Source organism: Homo sapiens, chromosome 5, assembly GCF_000001405.40.
Source record: "Homo sapiens chromosome 5, GRCh38.p14 Primary Assembly".
Lineage (NCBI taxonomy): Eukaryota > Metazoa > Chordata > Mammalia > Primates > Hominidae > Homo > Homo sapiens.
This window is the reverse complement of record NC_000005.10, coordinates 181,113,312-181,140,802: the sequence shown is the minus strand read 5'-3', so window position 1 is coordinate 181,140,802 and position 27,491 is coordinate 181,113,312. Positions and strand designations below refer to the sequence as shown.

Genomic DNA, 27,491 nt, shown 5'->3' with positions numbered 1-27,491 from the left:
TTAACACAGTAAATCAAAATATGAGCAGTAGAAAAGGGGAAAACATGATCTTCTCAAAGGATGCAGAACTGCCATTTAGTGACATTCAACACCCATTCACAATCAAGCTTATAGTAAGCTAGGGATGGAAAACAACTTCTATTTTCCACTGCCTATACTTTTGTGTACACTTGAGATTTTCCTTAATAAATGTTTAAAGTTGCTTATGCATCTAGAATAAGACTAATAAAGATGTGCAAAGAGCCCATGCCACAAAACATTGCTGAGGGAAATCACAGAAGCTCAATGGAGGGATAGATCATATTCATGGGTTTCGACACTCCACGTTGTAAGAATGTCCGTTCTCACCAAAACGGTCTGTAGGTCCAACGCAGCTGCAATCAAAATCCCTGCAGAACTTTTGTAGAAATTGCTTATTCTGAAAACTGTATAAACATGTAAATAGCCAGGTAGAGTCAAGATGATCTTAAAGAAAATAGAAGTTACCAGATAGTAAGATTTATTTTTAAAACACAGCATTTAAGAGAGTTGGTATTGCCACAAAGATAGGCAGTAGACAAAATAGAAAAAAGAATCTAGGAACACATATTCTATTTTATAGAACAAAGTATTGCCTGATTAAACAAAATAAAAGAAAAAAAGAAAGAAAAGAGAGTCAAAAAGCAACCAGCTTGAAGCCAAACTAGTTAGAAATAATAGTGACCATCGCCAAGGACTCTTTCGGCACCATGCCAGACACCGTGATAAGAGAGCTGCGTGGTCTTCTCACTCACTCCCCCAGCCATGACAGGGCCATTACAATCCCCACTTAACAGACCACTTAACAGACTACCCCACTTAACAGACTACTATCTATATAGTGACTATATGCTACTATGAACAGACTACTATCTATATACTACTATCCCCACTTAACAGACTACTATCTATAGAGTAACTATATGCTACTATGAACAGACTACTATCTATATAGTAACTATATACTGCTATGAACAGACTACTATCTATAGAGTAACTATATACTGCTATGAACAGACTACTATCTATATACTACTATCCCCACTTAACAGACTACTATCTATATAGTGACTATATGCTACTATTAACAGACTACTGTGTATATACTACTATCCCCACTTAACAGACTACTATCTATATAGTAACTATATACTACTATGAACAGACTACTATCTATATAGTGACTATATGCTACTATGAACAGACTACTATCTATATACTACTATCCCCACTTAACAGACTACTATCTATAGAGTAACTATATACTACTATGAACAGACTACTATCTATATGCTACTATCCCCACTTAACAGACTACTATCTATATAGTGACTATATGCTACTATGAACAGACTACTATCTATATACTACTATCCCCACTTAACAGACTGCTATCTATAGAGTAACTATATACTACTATGAACAGACTACTATCTATAGAGTAACTATATACTACTATGAACAGACTACTATCTATAGAGTAACTATATACTGCTATGAACAGACTACTATCTATATACTACTATCCCCACTTAACAGACTACTATCTATAGAGTAACTATATACTGCTATTAACAGGCTACTATCTATATAGTAACTATCTACTGCTATGAACAGACTACTATCTATATACTACTATCCCCACTTAACAGACTACTATCTATATACTACTATCCCCACTTAACAGACTACTATCTATATAGTAACTATATGCTACTATTAACAGACTACTATCTATATAGTGACTATATGCTACTATTAACAGACTACTATCTATATACTACTATCCCCACTTAACAGACTACTGTCTATGTAGTGACTATATACTGCTATGAACAGACTACTATCTATATGCTACTATCCCCACTTAACAGACTACTATCTGTATAGTAACTATATGCTACTATTAACAGACTACTATCTATATGCTACTATCCCCACTCAACAGACCCCACTTTCTGGGCCAGAGGCACAGAAAGGCAGGTGAGATAAAGCAGTTTGCTCGGCCACACAGCTGCCAGTGGTGGAGCTGCAGTCCACATCCAGGTAGTCTGACTGGAGAGCTAATTGTTAACAATTTCAGATACTGACAAGTGCTATGAAGAAAACAAAACATTCTACTTGAGGAGCGTTTACTTAAAAAAAAAAACAAAATAAAATAAAATGGGGTCATTCATGTGCCAGGAAGAGGCTGGTGAGGGAGCCTCGGGAGAACTGTACATCAAGAGCATCCCCAAGGGTGACTCATTAGGATCAACATCCAGTGGGGCTGAGAGCAGCAGCAGCGAGTGTTATCTCAGAGACAGACCCACAGCAAGACAGGAGATGTGCACAGGTCACAGACCGGCCTAGGGGAAGGAGACGGGCCAGCCCTGAGTCTCACCCTCTGCTGGTTCCCAGCTGCTACTTCAGGATTTGCTACCTCAGGGCTGGGCACAGCAGGGAGGAGAGTGAGCAGAGGGAAATGAAGAGTCTCATGGGGCTGACCCCCTTGGGTCTTTGGAGTTGCCCAGCCAAATGTTGGTCTTCCTTCCAAAGACTCTGTGTGTGAGCTCTCCCGGGCCCCCATCTGCCACGCACCATCCCCACAAGGTGGACGGCCCTCAGCTTTTCAATGGCCCTGCTGGGCTGGCCAGCCTGGACTCTCAGACCACCAGCCCGAAAGATTTGATCAAATATGCCTGTATCATTTACCAAGAAACTCTACCCCGCTATGTATCATATTTAAAAGCCAGCTTCATTATGTGCTATTTTTTTTTCTGGACTCTTATTTCTGTGGCTGGAGTACACGGTAGGTTCAAGCTCTCTTTCAAGATGGCTTAAGCCCAGCCAGCATCTGGGGTAGCCACTTAGCTCTCAGGAAGCACCGCCCACGTCCCTCCGTGGGCTCCCCTTTCACTCCACCATCCAGACAGCTCCAGCCACCCTCTCACACTCAGGTCTCCCTAAGCAAGCGTCGAGGAGCGGTTCCTGTGACCCCTCGTAATTCCCAGGCCCCTCCACAGGCCTGAGAGTGTGTGGGATGCACACCGCCTGACACCTCCCTCAGGAAGTCCAGGTTCTACAAGTCTCAGCTGTATGGCACTCCTTCTGACCTGTCGCATCTTTGTTTTCTCTCTTTTTCAAAATATGTTAAAATTTTCATTGTGGTTTCTTATTTAACTCCTGGGTTATCTAGAAGATTATTACCTCATTTCTGGGTGTATGTGTTTTCTAATTATTCTCTTCATTAATTAACTCCTAGCTTAATCAGAACCTGATCAGATTTAAGTGCTCTAAAATAATTTGGGACTTGATTTATGGCCCAGTGTGTGATCAGTTTTGGCACCTGTTCTGTGTGCACTCGGAGAAAATGTGTGTTTTGTAGTAGTTGGGTGCAATTTTCTATAGATGTCCACAGATCAATTTGCTACTCAAATTCTTCAAATTTTCTATATCCTTACTGATATTTTAGTTACCTTGTTCTAAAATAACTAAGACAATTGTGCTAAAATCTCACATTATTTTTGTGAACTTGTCTATTTCCACTTTTTTTTTTTTTTTTGAGACGGAGTCTCGCTGTGTCGCCCAGGCTGGAGTGCAGTGGCGCGATCTCAGCTCACTGCAAGCTCCGTCTCCCGGGTTCACGCCATTCTCTTGCCTCAGCCTCCCGAGTAGCTGGGACTACAGGCGCCCCCCACCACACCGGCTAATTTTTTGTATTTTTAGTACAGACAGGGTTTCACTGTGTTAGCCAGGATGGTCTCGATCTCCTGACCTTGTGATCTGCACACCTCAACCTTCCAAAGTGCTGGGATTATAGGCGTGAGCCCCCGTGTCTGGCCTATTTCCACTTTTAGTTCCGTCAAATTTCCCTTTGTATATTTGAGGTTATATATGTACATGTGTATATACATATTGTTGCTGTATCTTCTTGGAGGGTTGATCCTTTTGTGAAATACCTTTTCTTCCAGTTTAGCTTAATGCTTTTACGTCTGCTTTGCCTGAATTTAGCATTGACTTCATCACATTTGTTGTTATTGTTGGCTGGGTATGTATTTGTCCCTCCTTTTGTTTTATACCTGTTAATATCCTAAATTTTAAGAGCAAATATTAATATTTTTTAAAAAATTGAGCCTGATATCTTCATCTCTTTTTTTTTTTGAGATGGAGTCACGCCTGATTACAGGCATGAGCCACTGTGCCTGGCCCATCTCTTATTTGATGTATTTAGTCCATTTACATTTAATGTACATGTAATGTCTGGATCAGTTTGCCAGGGCTAACTTATCATAGTACCACAGACGAAGTGGCTTAAACAATAGAAATTTATTTTCTCAGAAGGAAACAAGTCAATTTGGATTAGGGCCCACCCTAAGAGCCTCATTTTAATTTAATCACCTCCATTACACCCATCACCAAATATAGTCACATTTGGAGGTACTGAGGATTAGGGCTTCAATATATAAATTTTGAGGGATATAATTAAGCTCATACCAATATCTGATATATTTAGGTTTAAATCCATAATCTTACTATTTGATTTTTACTTGTCCTACTTTGCTTATCTTTCTCTCCCTGCCTTTTTTGGGGGCACTTAGGAGAGGAACTAAGAAAGTGATATTTGGTCAGGTGCGGTGGCTCATGCCTGTCATCTCAGCACTTTGGAAGGTCGAAGCAGGAGGATGACTTGACTCTAGGAGTTTGAGACCAGCTTGGCTAACATGGTGAAACCCCCTCTCTACTTAAAATACAAAAATTAGCTGGGCGGTGATGCAGGCCTATAATCCCAGCTACTCAGGAAGCTGAGGCAGGAGAATCACTTGAGTCCAGGAGGCGGAGGTTGCAGTGAGCTGAGATTGTACCACTGCACTCACTCCAGCCTGGGTGACAGAGCGAGACTCTGTCTCAAAGAAAAAAAGTGGTATTTGCCATTTATTTCTTCTTTCTCTAATAACTTAGTTATTTTCTTTATTCTTTAAGTGGCGACCTGGAAATTACAAGCCACATACCTCACTTACTGGTGCCTCATATAAAGATGTATTTTTGCTACTTCCTGGCTTTCACGAGGACCTTAGAACGCGTTAGTTCCCCACCACTCCGCCTTCTTTGTCGTTGTTTTTATGCAGTTAGATTCTACACATATCTCAAACCCCACGCAGCCTCACTAACCTGATTTGATATTGTCAATATGCAGATGGATTCACTCACACATTTACCCTTTCTGTTGTTCTCCAGACCCCTCTTTGCATGTCCATCCTCTGGGATCATTTTCCTTCTGCTTCTGCTTGTAGAATTCCTTTTAGGGTTTTGTATTTTGCTCTTTGTTTTGGTTCCTTTTTTCATTTTTGTGGTTTTGTTTTGTTTTGGTGCAAATCTTCTGACAGAAAATACTCTAAAAGTTTTTGTTTGCATGAATTCATCTTTATTTGCCTTCATCTTAAAATAATATTTCTGTTGGAACTATAATTCTATGTGGGCAGTAATTTTATTCCAAGACGTTAAGGGTGCCATGTTAGCTTTCATCACTGTTGTGTGTGTGTGTGTGTGTGTGTGTGTGTTGAAAAGCCTGCTGTTAGTCTTCTTGTTGCAGTGTGTGTGTGTGTGTGTGTGTGTTGAAAAGCCTGCTGTTAGTCTTCTTGTTGCACTTTTTAATGTACTTTGTTTTTTCTTCTGGATACTGCTAACACTTTTCTGTTTGTTTTGCTTCTCAGCTGTAATGCTGTGGTGAGCCTAGCTTGGACTTCTTTGTATTCTTCTTGCTATTAGTTAACAGAGTTTCTTAATCTGTGACTTGATCTCTTTCATCACTTTAAAAAATTGCTCCACCCATATTTTTTTCTTTCTTTTCTTTCTTTTTTTTTTTAATTGAGACAGGGTCTCACTCTTTTGCCCAGGCTGGAGTGCAGTGACACAATCTTGGCTCACTGCAGCCTCAGCCTCCTGTGCTTAAGTGATCCTCCTGCCTCAGTCTCCCAAGCAGCTGGGTCCACAGGTGCCCACCACTGCACCTGGCTAATTTTTAAATTTTTTGTAGAGATGGGGTCTCTCTATTTTGCCCAGGCTGGTCTCCAACTCCTGGCCTCAAGTGATCCTCATGCCTTGGCCTCCCAAAGTGCTGAGATTACAGGCATCAGCCATGAGACCTGGCTTTTACCACCCCTCGGCTTCCATCTATATCTTTTAAAAATATTGTTTCCATCCTGTTCTTTCCTGCCCCTCTACTTTTGGGACTCCAGCAGCACTGAAGTGAGACCTTGCTATGCCCGTGTGTTTCTCACCCTCCCTTCCATGGTTTGTATTCTCTTCTCTCTGTGTTTCAGCCTTGGTTTTGTCTGTTGACCTCTTACTCAGTTCACTAACTATCTGTGTCTAAACTATTGCCAAATCTATCTATTGAGTTGTTTATTTAGTTTTTGATACTTTCAGTTCTAGAGTTTCGTTTTATTCTTTTCAAAGGTTACAGGTGTCTGGTGAAATTATCCGTCTTGGTTTTTTTCTCTCGAGCATCGTGATAACAGTTAATTTAAAGCTCATGAATGGCAACGCCAGTCTGGATCTCCTTTAAGTTTGTTTCTTTTTTGTCTTTTTGAATTTGGTCATTTTATCCTGTCCCTAGAATGCCTGGTAATTTTTTCTTGAATGGCAGACAAATGATGCGAATAATCTGAAGCTGTGGGTAATATCCTTTTCTTCTAGAGAAGATTTACCGTTCCTTATGTGGGGCAGCTAGATGAGCAGCTGGTTTCCTTAAGCCAGTCTGTGGCTGATGCGTGTGAACCTGTGGCTGATCCGCGTGAAGCTGGGTTCAGTCTTTGTGAGAATTCTCTATTTCTGATTAATAATTACTCTTAGTGTGTAGTGTTCCTGGGGTCCTAGCTGGAGGTCAGGGTGTTTTTGAGGTCTCTAAACCCAATTTCTTCCCTCCCAGATCTGTGAGATGACAAGAGGCTTCGCTCAGCTTCCCAGCCTCTGGGCCCTGTGCCAGGGATGAGTCAGCAAATGCCTGGAGAGGAAAAGCACCACCCAATGTCCAGCTCAGCCGAGAACACATCCCCGGGTCTCAGACCCTTGAGTCGTGGCTGTTTCCGCATCTTTATAATCACTTATAAAATATTTCATTTTTAGATTTTATCCAATTTCTCCAATTGTTCTTATCATGAAAGTTGTTCTTATACAAACTAGTCCACAGTGGCTGAAATTTTTTTACTTTTTGATATAATTTTGATTTTTAATTGTATGAAACATGTACTGAAGTCCAATTATAAAATAAAGCACACTTACAGATGTGTAGTTTTAGCGAGGAGTGGCGGCTCTTGCCTGTAATCCCAGCACTTTGGGAGGCTGAGGAGGGTGACTGCTTGAAGCCAGAAGTTTGAGACCAGCCTGGGCAACATAGCAAGACTCATCTCTACAAAAAATTAAAGAATCACCCGGGTGTGGTGGCATGCTCCTGGGGTCCTAGCTGCTCAGGGGCTGAGGCAGGAGGATCTCTGGAGCTCAGGAGAGTGCCCTTGCCTCAGGAGTTGGAGGCTGCAGTGAGCCATGTTGGCACTGCTGCACTCCAGCCTGGGCCACAGAGCAAGACCCTGTCTCTTAAAAGAAAAAAAAAACCTAGTTTCTGTCTCTGTCTCGTACACACATTTCTTCCCTCCTGCTATGTGGAACCGTATTTATTAGTTTGCAATTATCCTTTTATAGTTGATTTTGAAAATGTAAAAAACAACCTTGTCCATAGATTTCCTCCTTTCTCACGGCAGAAGCAGCAGGCTGTGTTCTGTTCTGCACCATGCTTTTTCCCTCCTTACCTCCTGAAGATCCCTCCAGTGTAGAAGAAGAAACACTTGATGTTCTTTTTACAGTCGTACGGCACTCTGTTATGTGGATACATTACAGTTTACTCAACCAGTGTGGAGTGACCTTCCAGGTTCTTGTTATAGAGCATTTTAGACACACCTAAAACCTGGAAGCATCGTATAATGAACTTCTCTGCACTCACCACCCGGTGCTGGCAATTGGCAGCTCAGGGTCAACACCGTTCCGTCTACTCCCCACCCACCTCTCCCTCTCCCCTTCACAACTGGATTATCTACAAATAAGTTTCAGAAATCACATAGTTTCCTCAGTAAATACATCAGTAAGTTTCTCTAAAATATCAAGAATAAAACATAATAATAGGATGAGCATTTAAGAAGAATTCTTAACAGAGAAACATCAATAATGACATTTCCTGGACATTTATGTGACAGCTGCTGCTTTCATTTTAGTACAAAAATTAGGGGAGGTTGAAAATTTGAATGTCCTAGACAATAATTTTTTTTTTTGAGACAGGGTCTGGCTCTGTTGCCCAGGCTGAAGTGCAGGGGTGTGATCTCAGCTCACTGCAGCCCTGACCTCATGGGCTTAAATGATCCTCCCACCTCAGCCTCCAGAGTAGCTGGGACCACAGACACGCACCACCGTGCCAGATTAAACATTTTTAAATTAAGATACTCATGTAAAAGACAGTGCTTCTATTTATGCAGGGCAGTTCTCCAAATAAATCAGTTCAGACATCCTAGTAACTTATTTGAGAAAAACGGACATTTCAAAGAGTATCCCCACCTCCCTTAAAATCTGAAAGGACACATAATATGATTGCTGTTAGCAGACTCTTCTCCCTTCTCTACTGTGGGACTCCAAGCCCCAAGTTAGTCTTGATTTAGGCTGTGTCAAGGGGACCAACACTGAATTGAATGTGAGATTCAAATTTTGATTTTCAATGGACTGGATTTTAGAATATATAAATGAGCCTTCGTCTTACCACCCAAAGTCACCAGAAAACTCTTGATCTGCATGAGATGTCATGAAGATGTGGAGAATGAATTGTGATGTCTTATTTAAAAGCAGTGGCTGTACAAAAATAAAAGTGTTTCCTTGTTTGCACATGATCAAAAGTTCCCCCTGAATAATACGATAAAAGGCAATACAAGAGCTGTCAGCAGGCCATGGACATACGCTGCCAGAGTGTAGACAGGAAGCCATGGCCGGCGGAGGTCATGGTGGATTGAGTTCCGGAGGAATCTGAATGGAGGTGGGCTTGAGCTCGGTCTTGGGGAATTAGATAAGGCTGAAGAGTAACAGAGGAAGAAGACAGAGGAAGTGCCGGTGGGGAGAAGTGGCTGGAGAAAAAGTGTGAGTGTGGAAAGCGTTGGGTGCATAGGAGGATAGAGGAGAAGGCCGGTGTGGGAGAGGAGTGGGAGACGCTGCAGGTCCAGTCCTCAAAAGCCAGCCTGCCCCACTCCAGCTGCGAGGTGGCCATTCCCTTCCTCCCTAGTCTACCTCTCTCTGCCCCGGTCTTCCTGTGTCTCCCTCATGGCCTCCTCGCCTGCATGTTCCTCAGACTCCTGCCATAGCTGGAAGCTGGATCAGGAAGAGGGCACACACCAAAAGTGTGGTAGCAAAGACACACAAGGAAGTCGAGATTCAGAAGGAACAAACGCCTCTGGTGTCTGAGCCATGTGGCAAGGGGATTTCAAGCACATTGGCCCCTGAGAAAATGGCCTGCTTCCATGGGACATAAATAGCCACAGAGTGACCATAAAATGCATCCTCCGATGTGAAATGCTCTTGAGAGTAAAAGGCAGTGGCAGCATCAGAACCGTGGACTTCAGCCCCATCCCCAGCAGCCCACGAAGACACTGACCCTGCAGAAACGCCTGTCAGGTTTATGAGGATCCCAACCAGGCCCCCAGGCTCCACCCGACTCTCGTGAAGGTGGGGCTGTTCTTTCCCTCCCACGAGGCTGTAGACCCCTTGAGCAAGGACTGTGTCCAGAGCCCCCCACCCAGTGCTTTGCATGTCACGGGTGATGTAGGCTGACTTAATGGGGGCAGGTGAAGGACAGGTGTGGGGTGCAGCGAGGGCCCAAGGGACAGCTGTGACATGGAGACCCCATGAGGGCCCTGGAGGTCGCTGGGAAGTGCTGATGTGTGTGTGGGGGGGCAATGTAGGGCACCAAGAATGTCCTCCGCATTCCTGTATTCCTCTGCCCTGCGTTCCTCCTCCCCCAGCTGGGTTTCCTCACGCTGTCCCCACTGGCCCTGCTCCTGTTCCTGTCCCCAGGTCCCTCTGTGGGTCTTTTTAATTGTAATCTTGGGAGCACCTCTTCCAGGGCTGGAGTCTGTGGGGTCCCCTGGGAGCTGAGGTCTGAAGTCAGCTTCCCCTCTTCACCCCGTGTCTGGGTTCAGTACCTGTGTGGGCAGTGGGAGGCGGTTCTGCCACCTGGCCAGAGCCAGGGTGTCCTGGAGGCAGGTGGGAATCCTGGGTGGGCTCAGGGCACTGCTCCTGGCTCCACCTCTCCTGCCAGCACCAGCTCCTTCCCTGAGCCTGTTTCTCCCTCTGAGAGGAGGCTGTGGTCTGTGTGAGCCTTGCTCTCTGAGCCTGAGGGGCCACTGGAGGCTGAGGGTGCCGTGGGCTCCACAACCCGATGAGTAGTCGGTGCGGGCTGAGGAAGGAGGTTGGGGCTGCGGCTCCTCCTGTCCCCCGACCCAGTGGGAGCAAACACAGGAGGATGAGTGCATGGCTCTGACGCTAGGAACTCCTCCACAGGTGACTCTGCTGAGTTTGTTCCCCTGCAGGGACCCACCCACAGGTGAGTGAGGGTCTTGTCCTGTCGTCCCCTCTCTCTTCCCTGCAGCTCCTGCTCCCATTGCTGGTTCACGTCCCCATTTATCTTGTTCATCAGCACTTGCTCTTCCTCCTGCTGTCTGCCTCCATCAGGGTGTAACTGTTTCGTGTGGGTGTTTGGAGGGGCATCCGTCTTCTGGTGTGATGTTTCTCCTCACTCTTTCTTCTCGTTCTCTTCCTTTGACCCACCTCTCTCTCTTTCCTTGGTGTCCTACTCCCCTTTTCCCGTCCCCCTCCCTCTGTCTGGGTTGGAGACTGGGCTCTAGGTCCCTGGGGTGGAGGATGGTCCACAGCAGGAAGACAAGGACAGATGTGTGGGGAGTGCGAAGGTGAAGGAGCAGGAAGGAGGGGGCTGATGTGGGACGGGGTCCTCCCGTGCCGGGGAGAATATTGCAGAGATGCAGTGGCTTCTTCTATGTTGTGGTTTCTAGGAAGAAAAGTGAAGCCATTAACTAAACACCCAACGGAAAGGTCTGAAATTAGAGAGCAGGAAGATAAGCCAGTGAGAGGCAAGAATAAATTCTGTTGTGTTTCATAATACAATTTTTTTTTTCTGAGACAGGATCTTGCCGTCTGTGTCCTGAGAGGCACAAGTGGCTGGTGCCTCTGAACATGGTGGTAAGGCTGGGAGACCGTTCTTCTGCTGGGGCATCTGGTGTATTTTGCTGGTTGATATGGCTGAGAGGGTGCTTGGTCGCTGTGGGAACAGATTTGCTCCTGTAGAAACCCCCTCCAAATCACACAATGTCATAGCTCTATCATTCAGGCTGGAGTGCAGTGGTGTGATCGTAGCTCACTGCAGCCTCAAATTCCTAGGCTCAAGTGATCTGCCTCAGTCTTCCAAGTAACTGGAACTACAGGTGCACACCACCACGCCCAGGTAATGTTTTATTTTATTTTTATTTTGGAGACAAAGCTCGCTCTGTCACCCAGGCTGGAGTGCAGTGGCGTGAACATAGATCACTGCCAGCTTGAACTTTCAGGCTCAAACGATCCTTCCACCTCAGCCACCTGAGTAGCTGGGACTACAGATGTGTGCCACAATAGCCTGGCTAATTTTCTCTGTTTTTTGAATAGAGATGAGGTCTCGTTTATGTTGCCCAGGCTGGTCTCAAACTCCTACCTCGAGCTATCCTTCTGCCTCAGCCTTTCAAAGTTTTGGAATTACAGGTGTGAGCCAGGGTACTTGGCCAACAAAATTTTTATGCATTCAACAAATATTGACTGAGCTCATAACAGATGTGCCAGACCCTGTTCCGGGAGCCAGGGATCCCACCACGAGCACCCGTGGCACCGGGGAACACGGGTTCTAGTTGGGAAAGCAGAGAACAGACACCCACATGAGCAGCCTGGGGCCTGCCTTGCATATATGCCTGCTGTGGGAACCAAGGCAGGGAAGGGAGGCAGAAGAAGAAGGATTTCAGCTCTAAATGGGTGCTGAGGGAAGGCTTTGCTGAGAAGGCGAGGAGGAGGTGAGGGAGCAAGGCAGGGCCAGTCTGGGAAGAGCCTTCTGCACGGAGGTGAGAGAAAGTGTCCAGGCCCCCTGGAGCTGGCCTTGTCCTGCCGTGTGGGAGCAGCTCCAGGAGGCAGGGAGACCGGCATGGAGGGAATCCCGGGAGAGTGGAAGGAAAGGCGTGGGTGGTGGTGGAGGGCTGCTGATGAGTCTTGCATTTCCTCTGGAAGTACTTTGGCTTTATTCCTGCAGAGATGGGTCCACCCCAGGACTACGTGACAAATAGACCAGGTTGGGCTGGGGTGTGCCAGCGTAGACTGGGAGGCAAATGCAGTTGGGGCCGTTGCCATCCTCCAGGGACACTCTAGAGGTGGTGTGGCCAGGTGGGAGCTGGCAGGGATGCGTGCTGGCTGGGGGGTATGTTTTGCAAGGGGAGCCAGCAGGGGTTTCTGATGTTTGGGGCGTGTGTGTGTGTGTGTGTGTGTGTGTGTGAGGAGAGGACAGGAGTCCAGGATGATGCGAGTGTTGTGACCTGTCAATCTGGACAGATCTGCCACTCACTGAGCTGAGAGCGGGAGAACAGGCGTTTCTCCAGGGGAGAGCAGGTGGTCTGTTTGGCCACTTCGGGTGGAACAAGCCCGTGACACAGCTGAGGGGAGAGGTTGAGTGCACAGTGGGTGTAAGAGTCTGAGTGCAAAGGAACCATGCAGGATGGAGGGAGAAGTGGCATCAGTCAACCATGCAGTATTGTAGTTTAAGAGACTGGGGGAGGGGGGAGTGGGACGTGCATGTCCTGGGAGGTGCCTGTGGCTGGTGCCTCTGGACACGGTGGTAGGGCTGGGCATCCCTTCTTCTGCTGGGGGATCTGGGGGAACCTGGTTTGTTTCGCTGCTGGGTGGAACCTGCGGCTGGTGTGGCTGAGATGGTGCTTGGTCGCTGTGGGAATAGATCTCTCCTGTAGAAATCCCCTCCACATCACTCCAGGGGTCATCAGTGGCAAGGACCCCGGGAACTCCCTCCTGGGCATGAACCAGGACAAGCTCCCTGACCTAGGGCCACAGATCAAGCAGCCATCTCCAGGGTCCTGGGCCTGGGCAGGCCCATCCCAGTTTAGGAAATTCCCCGGGGTCCTGGCACAGAGAGCGTGGTGTCCCGTGGAGCAGCCTCATTTAACGCTGCAGTGAGGTAAGGTGGACGTGAATGCACCTGCACGCAGAGGCCTTACAGATAAACAGCCGCCCATGTGTGGAGCAGGTCCTCGTCTTTGTAAGCATCTGAAGATGTTTCTTCCATTTTCACTCACTGTCCCTGGTAGAAAAGAATCACACAGCAAACTCCTGTGACACTCAGACCAAGGCCAATGAAGCAGGAGCCTTTCTGCAGAAAATGGAAATTGCAGCCACATGTCACTCCATCACATATTATTTTGTTCAGTCACCATGTCTGGGTTGAGGTCCCGCTATGAGCCAGGCACCATTCTGGGGGCTGCCAACGTCATGGTGAACAGAAACATGCTTTCATTCTGGTGGATCTCACAGACGGGGACGGTCCAAATACGGGAGCCTGTGGGTGTCAGATGGCACCAGTGCCGTGGAGAAACGGCAGCAGGAAGGGGCCTGGGAGAACGAGACATTCAGCGTTTTCATCCGGCTTCCACGGAACACCTCTCTGTGAAGACTGGCATTTGAGGAAAGACAGGAAGCAGGGAGGGAGGGGGACCTGGGGAAGAGCATTCCACCGAGGAAAACCAGCAAAGGATGGAGGTGCGGGCACCAGGCCCAGGAGACCCCCGGAAGCTCTGCGAGCAAGGGAGGGGCCCGAGGGGACCTCAGAGGGACGTGCGGGGTGTGTGTGTATTTCCGTGTGTCCATGTGTCTGGGTGTGTAACTGTGTCTATGTGTGTCTGTGTATATGTCTGTATTTGTGTATGACTCTGTGTGTGTGTGTGTATGTCTCTGTGTTTCTGTATATGGATGTATGTGTGCTTATGTGTTTCTGTGCGTGTCTGTGCATATCTTTCCATGTCTGTATGTCTCTGGGTGTGTATCTGTGTGTGTGTCTTTGTTTATATGGCTGTGTGTGTGACTCCGTGTATCTATGTGTTTCTGCATGTGTATTTTCATGTGTATATGTGTGTGTCTGTGTATTTCCATGTGTCTGTGTGTGTGTCTATATGTCTGTCTGTGTGTGTGTCTATGTGTGTATTAGTGTCTGTCTGTGTGTCTCTGTGTGTGTGTGTGTGTGTGTGTGTGTGTGTGTGTGTGGTGTGTGATGTAGGGCTTTGCTTGCCACTGTAAGAACTGGGCTTTATTTGGAGTAATTTGGGATGTCATTGACCTACTTTCACTAGGAAAGTTACACAAATGCTTTACATCTTAGCAGACTCTCTGCAAATGCTGTGACAATAGACTCAAGAGTTCAAGGATAGAAGCTGGGAGACCAGGGAAGAGGCTACAATAACCCATCAGAAAAAGGAGGGTGGCTGGGACCAGGGTAGTTTTGGTGGAGGTGGGAAAAGCGAATTAGATTCTGAGAAACACTGAGGGTATGGGCCAAGGGGCTTTTCTGATGGTTTGGACCTAGGGAATTAAAGAAATAGAGAAGTTGAAAATGGTCCCAGGATTTTTGACCTGAACAAAGTAAAGACTAAAGAACATCTCACGTTGCCATGATCTTTCCTTTTTTTTCTTTTTTTAATTGAAATGGAGTTTCGCTCTTGTTGCCCAGGCTGGAGTGCAATGGCACAATCTCGGCTCACTGCAACCTCCACCTCCTGGGTTCAAGCGATTCTCCTGCCTCAGCCTCCCGAGTAGCTGGGATTACAGTCATGCGCCACCACGCCTGGCTAATTTTGTACTTTTAGTAGAGACAGGGTTTCTCCATGTTGGTCAGGCTGGTCTTGAACTCCCAACCTCAGGTGATCCACCCGCCTCAGCATCCCAGAGTGCTGGGATTACAGGCGTGAGCCACCGCGCCCAGCTTGATCTTTCCTTTTTGTAACACATGTAATGATCTCTCAGGCATGAAATAGACCAAGGCATGTTAGAGACAGTTGACCAAATCCATGTGACCCCAGCTAAGAGGCAGTGCCATGTGGAAAGCCTGGGCTTTGCTGGCCAAAAGAGAATTGTCCAACAGTCCTGGGTCTCATGAAATGATCCTATGTCCACTCTCTGGGTATGGATATGCACAAATACAGATGTGTAGTCCAATTCCAGAGCTGGCAGAGGTCCTGTCACCTGTGTCACAGGAATACGAGTGTCCTCCTGCATCTCTCAGAGCATACGCTGTTGAACTGAAGAATTTGGAGCACAATAGAGACATGTCACTCAATCTTATAATTTCTCTTATGTTCTCAGGTGACAGTGAACAACTAAGCCATGGGAAGATGGGTGAACCAGTCCTACACAGATGGCTTCTTCCTCTTGGGCATCTTTTCCCACAGCCAGACTGACCTTGTCCTCTTCTCTGCAGTTATGGTGGTCTTCACAGTGGCCCTCTGTGGGAATGTCCTCCTCATCTTCCTCATCTACCTGGACGCTGGACTTCACACCCCCATGTACTTCTTCCTCAGCCAGCTCTCCCTCATGGACCTCATGTTGGTCTGTAACATTGTGCCAAAGATGGCAGCCAACTTCCTGTCTGGCAGGAAGTCCATCTCCTTTGTGGGCTGTGGCATACAAATTGGCTTTTTTGTCTCTCTTGTGGGATCTGAGGGGCTCTTGCTGGGACTCATGGCTTATGACCGCTACGTGGCCGTTAGCCACCCACTTCACTATCCCATCCTCATGAATCAGAGGGTCTGTCTCCAGATTACTGGGAGCTCCTGGGCCTTTGGGATAATAGATGGAGTGATTCAGATGGTGGCAGCCATGGGCTTACCTTACTGTGGCTCAAGGAGCGTGGATCACTTTTTCTGTGAGGTACAAGCTTTATTGAAGCTGGCCTGTGCAGACACTTCCCTTTTTGACACCCTCCTCTTTGCTTGCTGTGTCTTCATGCTTCTCCTTCCCTTCTCCATCATCATGGCCTCCTATGCTTGCATCCTAGGGGCTGTGCTCCGAATACGCTCTGCTCAGGCCTGGAAAAAAGCCCTGGCCACCTGCTCCTCCCACCTAACAGCTGTCACCCTCTTCTATGGGGCAGCCATGTTCATGTACCTGAGGCCTAGGCGCTACCGGGCCCCTAGCCATGACAAGGTGGCCTCTATCTTCTACACAGTCCTTACTCCCATGCTGAACCCCCTCATTTACAGCTTGAGGAATGGGGAGGTGATGGGGGCACTGAGGAAGGGGCTGGACCGCTGCAGGATTGGCAGCCAGCACTGAACCCCAGAGTCTGGTGCCTGCTGTGCCCCTTCTTGCCTGTGTCACATTGGGAAGTCACTCAACCTTTGTGAGTGTCTGTTTCCATTCACCTGTTGATGGTCATTGGATGGTTTATAGGTTTTGGCCATCATGAGAAAAGCCATTATGAACATTTCTGTACCAAAAAAAAAGGAAAAAAAGATAATCAGGACACTCGTGCTCTGAGGGATTTTGTAAAGATCACAATGTGTCAATCTAAAGCTCCATGAAGAAGCAACGGCTGCTATTATTGTCATTGTTGATTGTTTATGACATCCTTGGACTAAATTTACTCTATTTTTTATTTTCTTTATTTTATTTTTTGTGTTTTTCTGCCCTTTAGTGCTATATTTCTTAATTCTTCTTGGTAATAGCTGTCTTTTATTGGATGCTTACTAAGTTCTAGGTTCCTGTTCCTTTTCTATTCTTTCTAAATTATTTAATTGATGACTTAGACTAACAAATGTGGATATCTTAAGTGGAAACTTTCTAAATGGCAGAAATTGAGTCCCTATAACTCTTTTTGGACAGTTCTTTGCCTTTTTCTATGTTCAATTAGAGGCTTTATAAAACCTCCTTTAAGTAATAAAAATAAATCCCTGCAGTTTAGTAGTTATCCTCGTGGGGGGAATATCTTGTTTTTTTGTGTGTGTTATGAAAGGAGGATATCTTGGGCCCCCAAAATCACGAGGATAAAGGGAAAAGTCAAGGTGGGAACTGCTCAGGGCAAACCTGCCTCCCATTCTTTCAAAGTCAGCCCTCTGCTCACTGAGATCGATGCAGCTTCTGATTGACTCCTTTGGAATGTCTCATCGGAAACTCAAAAGACTGCAACCATTTGTCTCTCACCTACCTGTGACCTGGAAGCCCCCTCCCTGCTTCGAGCTGTCCCCGCCTTTCTGGATGGAACCAGTGTATTTCTTACATACATTGATTGATGTCTCATGTCTCCCTAAAATGTATAAAACCAAGCGTGCCCTGACCACCTTGGGCACGTGTCGTCAGGACCTCCGGAGGGCCGCGTCACGGGTGCACGTCCTCAACCTTGACAAAATAAACTTTCTAAATTAACTGATATCTGTCTCAAAGGTTGGGGGTTCACAGTGTATTACCAGTACCAGACCCTGTGCCTTATAAGTAGCAGTTGCTCAATAAAACATTATTGAATGAATGCAAGAAGAGAGCATCAAGTGAGGTAATATAAATGGAAGCATTTTAAAAGCACTGTTCACATGTCAAGTTTGCTGTGGCAGCTGTGATTCATTTTAGCACTTCAAGTTCTTTAACGGTTTAAAACTGTATCTCTCTTGGAGCATGAAGACTGGAAAAGAAATAAGGAGATAAACTGAGCCATTATTTTGAAACTTATATATCAGTCAGGGTCCATTTAGGAACAAAATCACGTCAGTTATTTTAAGAGAAAGTTTAACATAAAGAATTGCTGGCCAGGCACGGTGGCTCACACCTGTAATGCCAGCCCTTTGAGAGGCTGAGGCAGAGGGATCACTTGAGGCCAGGAGTACAAGACCAGCCTGGTCCTAGCTACTGCAGTCCGAGCTACTCGGGAGGCTAAGGAGGGAGGACGGCTTGAGCCCAGGAGTTCAAGGCTACAGTAAGAGAACTGCACCACTGACTGCACTCTAGCCTGGGTGACAGAGCGAGACCCCGTGTCTAAAAAAACACAAAAATTAAACAAAATTGCTAACCAGATGTTGGAGAACTGAATGGCCAAAACAAGAACACTAGGGATCCTTGGAGCTCAAACATCTGGGGGCAGGCAGTGACCATGGCATCCCGAGCTCAGCAGAGGCCCTGGAGAAGCATCTCCCTGACCTTGGAGGGCTGCCTGGCCCTGCCTTGTGGTACCCCCGGAGCACGGGGGCCGGCGGGGGAGAAGAAGCGGCCTCCAAAGCTGGGCCCAGGCTTCCGAGGAGCAGCTGCTGTGTGGTTGCTCCTGACACTCTAGGTGTTCAGAGAGGGCCTCAGGTCCCGGCTGCTGACGCTTGGGGGCCAGTCGGCTGCTGCGTGTTTTTCTAAGGGCAGGATGAGACGAGTGCGGAAGTGTGAAAGTAAAATCTGCAGCATGGAGCCAACTTCCAGGATGAAGAAACATTGCTGGGACGATTTTGACAGGAAAAAACAGGAAGTCATGAGGATTGGTTTCTTTCCGCTCCTGCTGGCTGACAGCCTCCTTCTAGTGTCCTCCTGGCGGAGACTGATGGGCCCCGACAGCAAATCAGCCCTAGCAACACAATTCAGATGACAGGAGTGTGGGCTGCAGGCTGAGGCAACTGCTTAAAAGCGGGTGCAGGTCCCTCCTGTGGCCATTCAGTGTCCACACAGCATTTCACTCACAGCTGAACTTCCACTAAACAGCAGGGACATTTTGCTTTTCCTAAGAATGTGTCCGCGTCCACACACGCTGCCCTTTGGCAGCCGTGGCACCGCCTGTGGGCACTGTCATCCCTCATGTACAGTCACGGTCTTGACTGAACGGTGGGCACTGTCATCCCTCATGTACAGTCACGATCTTGACTGAACGGTAGCCTCCACCACCAGGGGTATGTAAAGCAATAAGAGGAGGGGGAGAGGACAAATTAGCTTCCACACAGGGACACACGCACACACACCCCAACATGGCAATTGATCATGAAGACATCATTGGTATTTAGAACCTTCTTCTTCACTTTGGATTCCCTATGTCCTTTGCCCCCGTCTTTCCAGGGTCTTGCTTCTGAACTGACACTGTAAAAGAGTTGGTATCGTAATGAGAACACCTGCTTCCGGGCGATGGACTAACACAGGACCTGTCAGCTCCACAGACATAAGCCCATCACTGCCCTTCTTCTGCTAGAAAACAAGTTCCTTGATCAGAAGAGATGCTGTGCAGAACACTCTGGGGTATCTGAGGCATTCTGCACATAGATGGCGGTGCTGTCAGATGTGCGTGGGCAGGGAAGGCAAATTCAAATCTAGAAAAGGTGTCTATCGCAGTGAGGTCAAATTGCTATGCCGTTCATGACAAAAGGGATCCAATATAAAAGCCTGCTTCTAGGAGGCTAGTAGCAAAAGGAAAGGTGCCATGTTGGGGCCCAGAATGAGTTTCTGCTGATGGAAGGTTGGCCACTCAGTGGTAGTGGTAACCAGGTCAGCTTGGTGAGGACCCATCCGTGTTGGTGCACCTGTGGATAACCTCTGTCCCTACAACCGCAACCACTTTGTCCATAGTCCACTGAGCAAGCATCTGAGTTGTTCCACAAAGCATGGTGTTCTATGGCATGTTAAGATGATTAAGATCTCTGTGGATTATATTGCGCAGGAGGAGAAACGATGGAGTCCTGAGGCAAGATTGTTGAGACGCACTGTTGTGGTCCTGGAATGCACACAGCTGCTTTTTGTGGGCCTTACAACTTGTTACAGAGGAAAAATAGTTTTTCATGTCAATAAGTGCATACTAGGGCCAGGGGTGGTGGCTCATGCCTATAAACCCAGCACTTTGGGAGGCCAAAGCAGGTAAATCACTTAAGGTCAGGAGTTCAAGGCCAGCCTGGCCAATATGGTGAAACCCCGTCTCTACTAAAAATACAAAAATTGGCCAGGCGTGGTGGTGGGCGGGCGCCTGTAATCCCAGCTATTCCGGAGGCTGAGGCAGGAGAATTGCTTGAACCCGGGAGGCGGAGGTTGCAGTGAGCAGAGAGTACACCATTGCACTCCAGCCTGGGCATCAGAGAGAGACTGGATCTCAAAAAAAAACAAAAAATCTGAATATTAGGTATAAAAAGCTATGCTGCTTTGTTCCACTAAGGATGAGCACATCTGTAACAGCCACTGTGGTTTGAGTCACCGTCTGATTAACTGCACAATAATGCACAGTAATTTTCCATCTGGGTCATGGGCAATAATTAATTTTAGAATTATTTTTAAATGAATATATACTGTAAGTCTTCTCAACCTTCACCCAAATGCATCTGTGATCATCTACTAGAGCAACCATGCATAGGAGAAGAAAAAATATTCAAAGCTTTTAGGAATTAAAATTATTCTCTATTAACTTTTTCAAAAAAAAAGTCCACCTGGAAAACCTGCTGATCAAACAAGGCCAAGTTTATTCCTTATGCAGTAAAGGTAAACACCACCATGACCACGTTCTGCAGTATTTCAGAAGTGGAAGATCAAGGGTAGATGTGTATGAGTGTTAGGATCTGGATTTGAGAAGTTGGAAGTGGCTTGGTGGGCATCAGATGTGAGGAGTCTTAATGAGAAAACAGTTGTCTGATAAGCAGTATTCTGGTTTTGTGCCACTGCACTCCAGCCTGGGTAACAAAGCGTAACCCTGTCTCAAAAACAGACAAACAAACAAATTACAGGATGAGAAGTGTGAGCCATCCTCCCCGGCTGAAATTTAAAATATTTTAATTTTTACAGATTGGGTCTTTCTTTGTTGCCCAGGCTGGAATGCAGTGGTGCAGTCATAGCTCTCTGCAGCATCAAACTCCTGGGCTCAAGTGATCCTCCCACCTCCGCCTTCCAGGTAGCTGGGATTACAGGCATGAGCCACCATGCCTAGCTTAAAGCAAGTTTTCATATTCACACAGGCAGGAAACACTGACCACCTGATTGGAATGAAGATTTGTCACATGTATGATGCAAAATCTCCCCATAAGTTGAATGAACAACTTGATGGGAAAGGATTTGGTAAGGAAGTTGGAAAAAAAAAAAACTTGCCTGTGAATATTTTAAACCATTATTATAGAAAACTTTAAGCATACACAAAAGGGAAGCAAGTATTACAAAGTCCCATGTCGCCTCACACGCAAAAGGTTCCCGGTTCAAAACCAGGCAGAAACGGCTCCTTCCGCTTTTTCCTTCATTACTTCGCATTTGTGACATTAGGGACTAGAACATCCCACTGCTATCTCCACCTGGTTACAGAGGCGCAAGGAGAAAAAGGCATCTACACCGTTGCCTTCCCACATCAGCCATCAGCACCTTTGAAGAACTGAGCCCACCTCACTTGCTGTGGACACTGCAAGGATGACCTCGGCACAGAGCCCGCCCACTCCACAGCTGCACGCTGCCAGATGGAATCCCAGACCTGCTCTGTGACTGCAGGTGAGCAGGGACCTTAGAGATCATTTAATTCACCCTCTCATTTTGTTGATGTGAAACAGGCTCAGAGATGGGAATGGCTGGCCTGTGGTCACAGAGCAGGTCCCTAAACTGTGCCCTGGACCCACGTTGGCACAGCCTCCAGGCCCATGCAACACTGGAACTGAATCCAAATGGATTTCCAAAGGGCAAAGGCAAAGCTAACCTGGTTGCTTCTCCTGGATTCATTGGAACAACCAGCCAAGCAGCCCCAGAAGATCACTTCCTTCCACCTTTTGCCTAAAGTGGCACAGGATGGTCCCATTTGTGAAACCCTCCAGAGCCTCCCTTTGCCATCTGGACTCTGCCTCGCTGCTCAGCTGGAGTCCTGAGGCCTGAAAGACATTGCTAGCGCTGAAGTGCGTCCCCCTCAAAATTCATATCTTAGAGCTCCAACCACTAGGACCTCAAAATGTGACTGTTTTTGGAGATAGGGTCTTTAAAGAGGTGATTATACAAAAATGAGGTCACTAGGGTGGGCCCAAATCCAATTTGACTGGTGTCCTTATAAGAGGAAATTTGGACAGAGCCATTCTACAGGAGGAACCAGGACCTCCAGGGGTTGTGAAACTCAAACTCTGAGAGCCAACGGAGGAGCTGACCTGCCCAGGCGGCCCCTGCAGAGGGCCAGCACGCTCAACACCACGACCCTCCTGCAGCCCCGCGTGCTCATCAACAGAAGCTTTTCTCTCCTTAGATTATAGAAGACAGCTGTAGAAAATAAAAGCCAGTGCCCCCATCTCCTCAAGGACCAGGACTTTGCACATTACACACAAAACACAGCAGCACACATTGGCCCCTCCTGCAGACTCACACTATTGGGTGGATGCGCCCATGTTGGCCATAAACTGGATCCTATGACGGATCCTCATTTCGTTTCTGTAACATGCACTTTTCGTTTTTTAAACTCATCTGTTGGCAAGGTCTCTATTCCGGCAGTTTTGGATTGGATGACTTCCATCACGCCCCTCCCAGCTTCAGTCTCATGGTGGTTGCTCATCTCCTTCATTTACTTGGCATCTCCTTAAATTTACTCATATGTTTATCATTTATACAATTACTTTAGCTTAATTACAAGCAACACTAGCAAGAACTTCAAGTTTCAAGGTGCAAGTTACCTGCCCGCCAAGGCTGCATTAAAGCCTTATGTGAACATTATTATGCTCTGGGCCACAGGAATCATTTTGCACACTGCAACGGTCACTCAGCTGATCCCTGGGAAACACTAACTGCCTCGCTGCTGTGTTTGGGGGTCTGTTTTTATGGTTTAGCATTCCCTAACAGCTTTATTGGGGCACAGTTCAATACAATAAAATCCACTCATTGTAAGTTTACAGCTCAATGATTTTTAGTCACTGTATACAGTTCTGCAACCATCACCACAATCCACTTTTAAAACAGTTCCTTTGTCAGAAAAATTTCCTGCATCCCCATCTGCAGCCAACCCTGGCTCTCAGCCTCCAACCTAGACAACCAGTGATCTGGTTTCTGTCTGTATTGATCTGCCTTTCCTGTAAATTTCATATAAATTCCATTCATATAAACGATATGAGTGGAATTGCTATGTTGTAAGTTTCACTTTGCTATACCAAAAGGTTAAGCATACGGTTACTATACAACCCATCAACTCCAGTCCTCGGTATATACACAAGAGAATTGAAAACGTGTTTATGTAAAGAATTGTACTCAACTGTTTATGGTATCATTGTTCATGATAGCCAAAAAGTGGAAACAACATAAATGTCCATCAATTGATGAATGGATAAACCAAATGTGTATTGAAGCGGCCTCGTTGTCTGGGATAATACTCGAGGTTCATTGTCTCATGGTGATGGAGATCAAGGATGTGAACACACAAAGAGTGAGATTAAAAGCAGAAGATTTTTGTTTGTTTGTTTTGTTTTGTTTTTGAGATGGAGTCTCACTGTCACCCAGGCTGGAATGCAGTGGTGCCATCTCAGCTCACTGCAACCTCTGCCTCCCGGGTTCAAGCAATTCTCCTGCCTCAGCCTCCCAAGTAACTGGGATTACAGGCGTGTGCCACCACGCCCGGCTAGTTTTTGTATTTTTAGTAGAGATGGAGTTTCATCATGTTGGCCAGGCTGGTCTCGAACTCCTGACCTCCTGCCCACCTCGGCCTCCCAAAGTGCTGGGATTACAAGTGTGAGCCACCACACCTGGCCAAGAGCAGAAGTTTAATAGGTGAAAGAAAGATAACCACTCTGCTACAGAGAGGGGTCTCAGAAAAATGGGCTCCTGGATCCACAGTGAAATGCAGGGGGTGTTACTGATGAGCTGGTGAGGAGGTGGTGTCTGATCTACATCGGGCGAGAAAAACTGGGTGGACCAGGCGTGCCATTTGCATAGGCCACAAATCTCTGGTAGTCCCCATACTAATCTTTTATTACGCAGATGGGTTCTCTGCCTGAGCTGCCCCGTGTTCTCCATTTCTTTTCTTTTCTTTCTCTTTTTTTGCTAGTTTGTGTAATAATTTTACTGCATAAGAAATTACAGAGATTGCATAAATCATTAGGTCAACAGCATGCAGAGAACAACAAAGCAAAACATTGTTTGGATCAAATAAAAAACAGCAGGAACAACTCAATTCTTAAAAATACCATAAATGTGGCTCCATTTGAGAGAAAATTTTGCATTTTCTGGATAGAGTAATTTCTGTAGTTTCATTAAGCAAAAATGGAAAACAGCTTTTCAGTTAAAAACACTCAAAAGCAACTTGCACAGATGTGTTGCCCTCTTCACCCTGGATGTAACAAACATAAAGATGTGAGGCTGCCTGCCCTTGCCTAAAGCATGGCTTGAACTTTCTATTGATAGTAATCGATTATGCATAACCACCTATGTATTGAAATTGTGCAAGTCAGAGCATCCAAAACTACTGCAAGAGTCAATTTCTTCCTGTGGGGAACAGCATGTAGCTGTACTACATGTTAAAATTTCCATTCCTCGTTCGATTATTTGCCCTATTCCAGACATAAAAATACAAATAAATATTTTCTTACAAACGAAGTTCACAGTATATTGCTTTAAAAAAAGAGAGATTAAAAAAACAAGAATCTTAATTTGCTTTTTCATTAAATAAAAATGCTAACATACAGACACATTCAATATTTATACAAATTGTAGGAGTCAGTCTATCCTTTCTTGGTCATAATTGAAGTTTAATAGTGCTGGTCCATACACGACAAGGCTCAGATCCCAAATGTACGTTCAATTCTACTAAAAGTTGCTCAAGATAATTTTTTTCTCTTTTTCTGTTTAATTAAAAAAGACAATTTTGGAATTTTAGAATTACATTTGAGTTGTCTGAAAAAATACAATTTCAATGAAAAAATCATATCAAGCATTCAAGAGTATATTGCTGGTGCTATCATCTTTTTGCGCCGAAAAAAATCAATAAAATCACATGTCTGAGACTTTTAAATGGTTAAATGTAACCACATACTATTAAAGATATGCTCATGCACACACACACTCAGACTCCAAACATGAAGGAAAAAGGATCAGCGTCTTTCTGTTGCATTTGCATTCTCCTTAGTTCCTGATGCCGTGGGGTGAAGCTGCAAGGAGACTTCATAGCGTTTCTTGGCCGAGTCTAGGTGTCCCCAGCGATGATAAAGCACAGCCAAATTACCACGGTAACTTGAAGCATTTGGATTTGCTTTAATTGCCTTGAGGAGTCAGGCTTCCGATTCCTTGTATTTCTGGGATTTCCCCAGCACGTTTGCCAAGGAGAACACGAGAGAGTGATCATCAGGTATTAATTCCAGCGCGTCTCTTCCAACTGCCTCGGCTTGGGCTGCACTACCTGGGTCGTGAGCAGTGTAACCACGTTGTTCCAGGCCAGGCTGCGCGCTGGTTTCAGCTCGGTGCATTTCTCCACGCATTGAAGGCGTCCACCTGGCGATTGAGATCAGCAGACGCCGGAGGCTGTAGTAACGGTCTGGGTATTTCCTTCTGTTTACTCGCCGTCGGGTAACTTTGCTTGGCGGTTTCAAAGCGTTTCAGGCTGCTCCGCGCTATGCCTAGACTCATCCACGCAGCAGCAAAGTCTGGCTGCATTTGAACAGCCAAAGACAGCAGCTCCTCAGCTTCCTGTAGCTCATTCCTTTCTTTTAAGACATTTGCAAGATTATTCACGGCATGAACATACTTGGGATTTAAGCTTACAGCTTCCCGGTGGTATCTGATGGCGCCCGTCTGGTTGCCTTTAGCAGCCAGGTTTCTGCCGATGTTGCAGCGAACCTCAGCACTGAGGGGACACACAGACACAGCGCCTCTGAAAACCGCCCCTCGCTCCGCCACTCGCCGCCGCGCACCGCGCATCTCAGCCTCTCAGCATCTTGCTGAGTAGGATTCCCAGCACCACGGCAGCGATGAGCTTCTTTTTCTCGGTGTGTTTGCGCAGGCTCCGAATCCAAAAAGCAGCATCACACAGCACCCCACGCTCGGGACCACGAAGCCCGCTCGGAAGAACAGGTTACTTGCGGGGAGAAACGGGATAACGAGCAATCCCAGGCGCAGAGTAAGGATCCTTCTCTGGTGGCCGTCTGCAGAGCACAGGGCTTGGCGTATGAGGCCAACTGGGCGGAACCAGAGCGCTGCAAATGCAGTTACCCTCCAGTCGCTGAGGGACTTCATGAGGGGGCTGCAGCCCACTGACCAATCAAAACACAGCCACCAGGGACGCAGCAGCAGCAGCCAGGCATTCAATGAATAGGAGTAATTGTCGTTTATGGCCCTCGCCAGCACGCGGTCAGCAAAGGAGGCCCAGTTGTCCTCCTCGGTGAAGGCCGGCGGGCCCGGGCCTATGATCCTCCAGCGCACGGAGAGCATCCCAGCCCCTCCGGAGGCGAGCAGGGTCATTCTGAAGAGGAGTCCCGGTTCCTGAGCATGCCAAGATTCTCTCATGACTTGTCCTTATGTGGTACCTTCTGGACAATTTCCAGAACATTGAATTTGCCTCTCACCAAGATGTCAAACACCACGTTCCAACCCAGCACGGTGATCCCTTTCTCTTTGCACAGCATGGCCACTGCTCCCAGAAAGATGCTCAGCAGCACCCAGAAGGTGGAAGAACGTGCTGCCTCCTTATTACTGTCTCTAAATGCTTTACAATAGCCACGGAAGGATAGCAAGAAGAACAGCGTGTTGCCCAGGTGGAAGAACGTGCTCCCTCCTTGTTACTGTCTCTAAATGCTTTACAATAGCCACGGAAGGATAGCAAGAAGAACAGCGTGTTGCCCAGGTGGAAGAACGTGCTCCCTCCTTGTTACTCTCTCTAAATGCTTTACAGTAGCCAGGGAAGGATAACAAGAAGAACAGCGTGTTGCCCAGGTGGAAGAACGTGCTCCCTCCTTGTTACTGTCCCTAAATGCTTCACAGTAGCCACGGAAGGATAACAAGAAGAACAGCGTGTTGCCCAGGTGGAAGAACGTGCTCCCTCCTTGTTACTGTCCCTAAATGCTTTACAGTAGCCACGGAAGGATAACAAGAAGAACAGCGTGTTGCCCAGGTGGAAGAACGTGCTCCCTCCTTGTTACTGTCCCTAAATGCTTTACAGTAGCCACGGAAGGATAACAAGAAGAGCAGCGTGTTGCCCAGGTGGAAGAACGTGCTCCCTCCTTGTTACTGTCCCTAAATGCTTTACAGTAGCCACGGAAGGATAACAAGAAGAGCAGCGTGTTGCCCAGGTGGAAGAACGTGCTCCCTCCTTGTTACTGTCTCTAAATGCTTTACAGTAGCCACGGAAGGATAACAAGAAGAACAGCGTGTTGCCCATTTCTTTATTACTGTACATGTGGTAACCAAAAAAGGGAGGATGGAGCCTCCGTGTGGGACATGTCTGGCCCTTTTCTACT

At 46.6% G+C, this 27,491-nt stretch overlaps 1 protein-coding gene and 1 pseudogene across 1 annotated transcript, besides 2 other annotated features; one reads left to right on the top strand and one right to left on the bottom strand.

Moving 5' to 3' along the window:
- Positions 2,249-2,748: an enhancer, noted in NCBI's record as "H3K4me1 hESC enhancer chr5:180565055-180565554 (GRCh37/hg19 assembly coordinates)". NCBI's record gives its function as "activates a minimal SCP1, AML or CMV promoter by ChIP-STARR-seq in naive H9 embryonic stem cells {active_cell/tissue: H9 hESC(naive)}" and the evidence as "EXISTENCE:reporter gene assay evidence [ECO:0000049][PMID:30033119]".
- Positions 9,634-17,681, top strand: OR2V1 (olfactory receptor family 2 subfamily V member 1). Its single transcript, NM_001258283.2, has 4 exons — positions 9,634-9,753; positions 10,588-10,630; positions 11,228-11,283; positions 15,478-17,681. The coding sequence occupies exon 4, from the start codon at positions 15,499-15,501 to the stop codon at positions 16,444-16,446; it is 948 nt and encodes a 315-aa protein (NP_001245212.1). The 5' UTR covers positions 9,634-9,753; positions 10,588-10,630; positions 11,228-11,283; positions 15,478-15,498; the 3' UTR covers positions 16,447-17,681.
- Positions 10,347-10,848: an enhancer, noted in NCBI's record as "H3K4me1 hESC enhancer chr5:180556955-180557456 (GRCh37/hg19 assembly coordinates)". NCBI's record gives its function as "activates a minimal SCP1, AML or CMV promoter by ChIP-STARR-seq in primed H9 embryonic stem cells {active_cell/tissue: H9 hESC(primed)}" and the evidence as "EXISTENCE:reporter gene assay evidence [ECO:0000049][PMID:30033119]".
- A 7,267-nt stretch (positions 17,682-24,948) lies between the features above and the next one.
- On the bottom strand, positions 24,949-26,777 carry LOC729707 (transmembrane O-mannosyltransferase targeting cadherins 4 pseudogene; annotated as a pseudogene).

Coding starts and splice junctions, on each gene's coding strand:
- OR2V1 (NM_001258283.2), top strand. CDS start 15,499: ATGGGAAGATGGGTGAACCAGTCCTACACAGATGGCTTCTTCCTCTTG.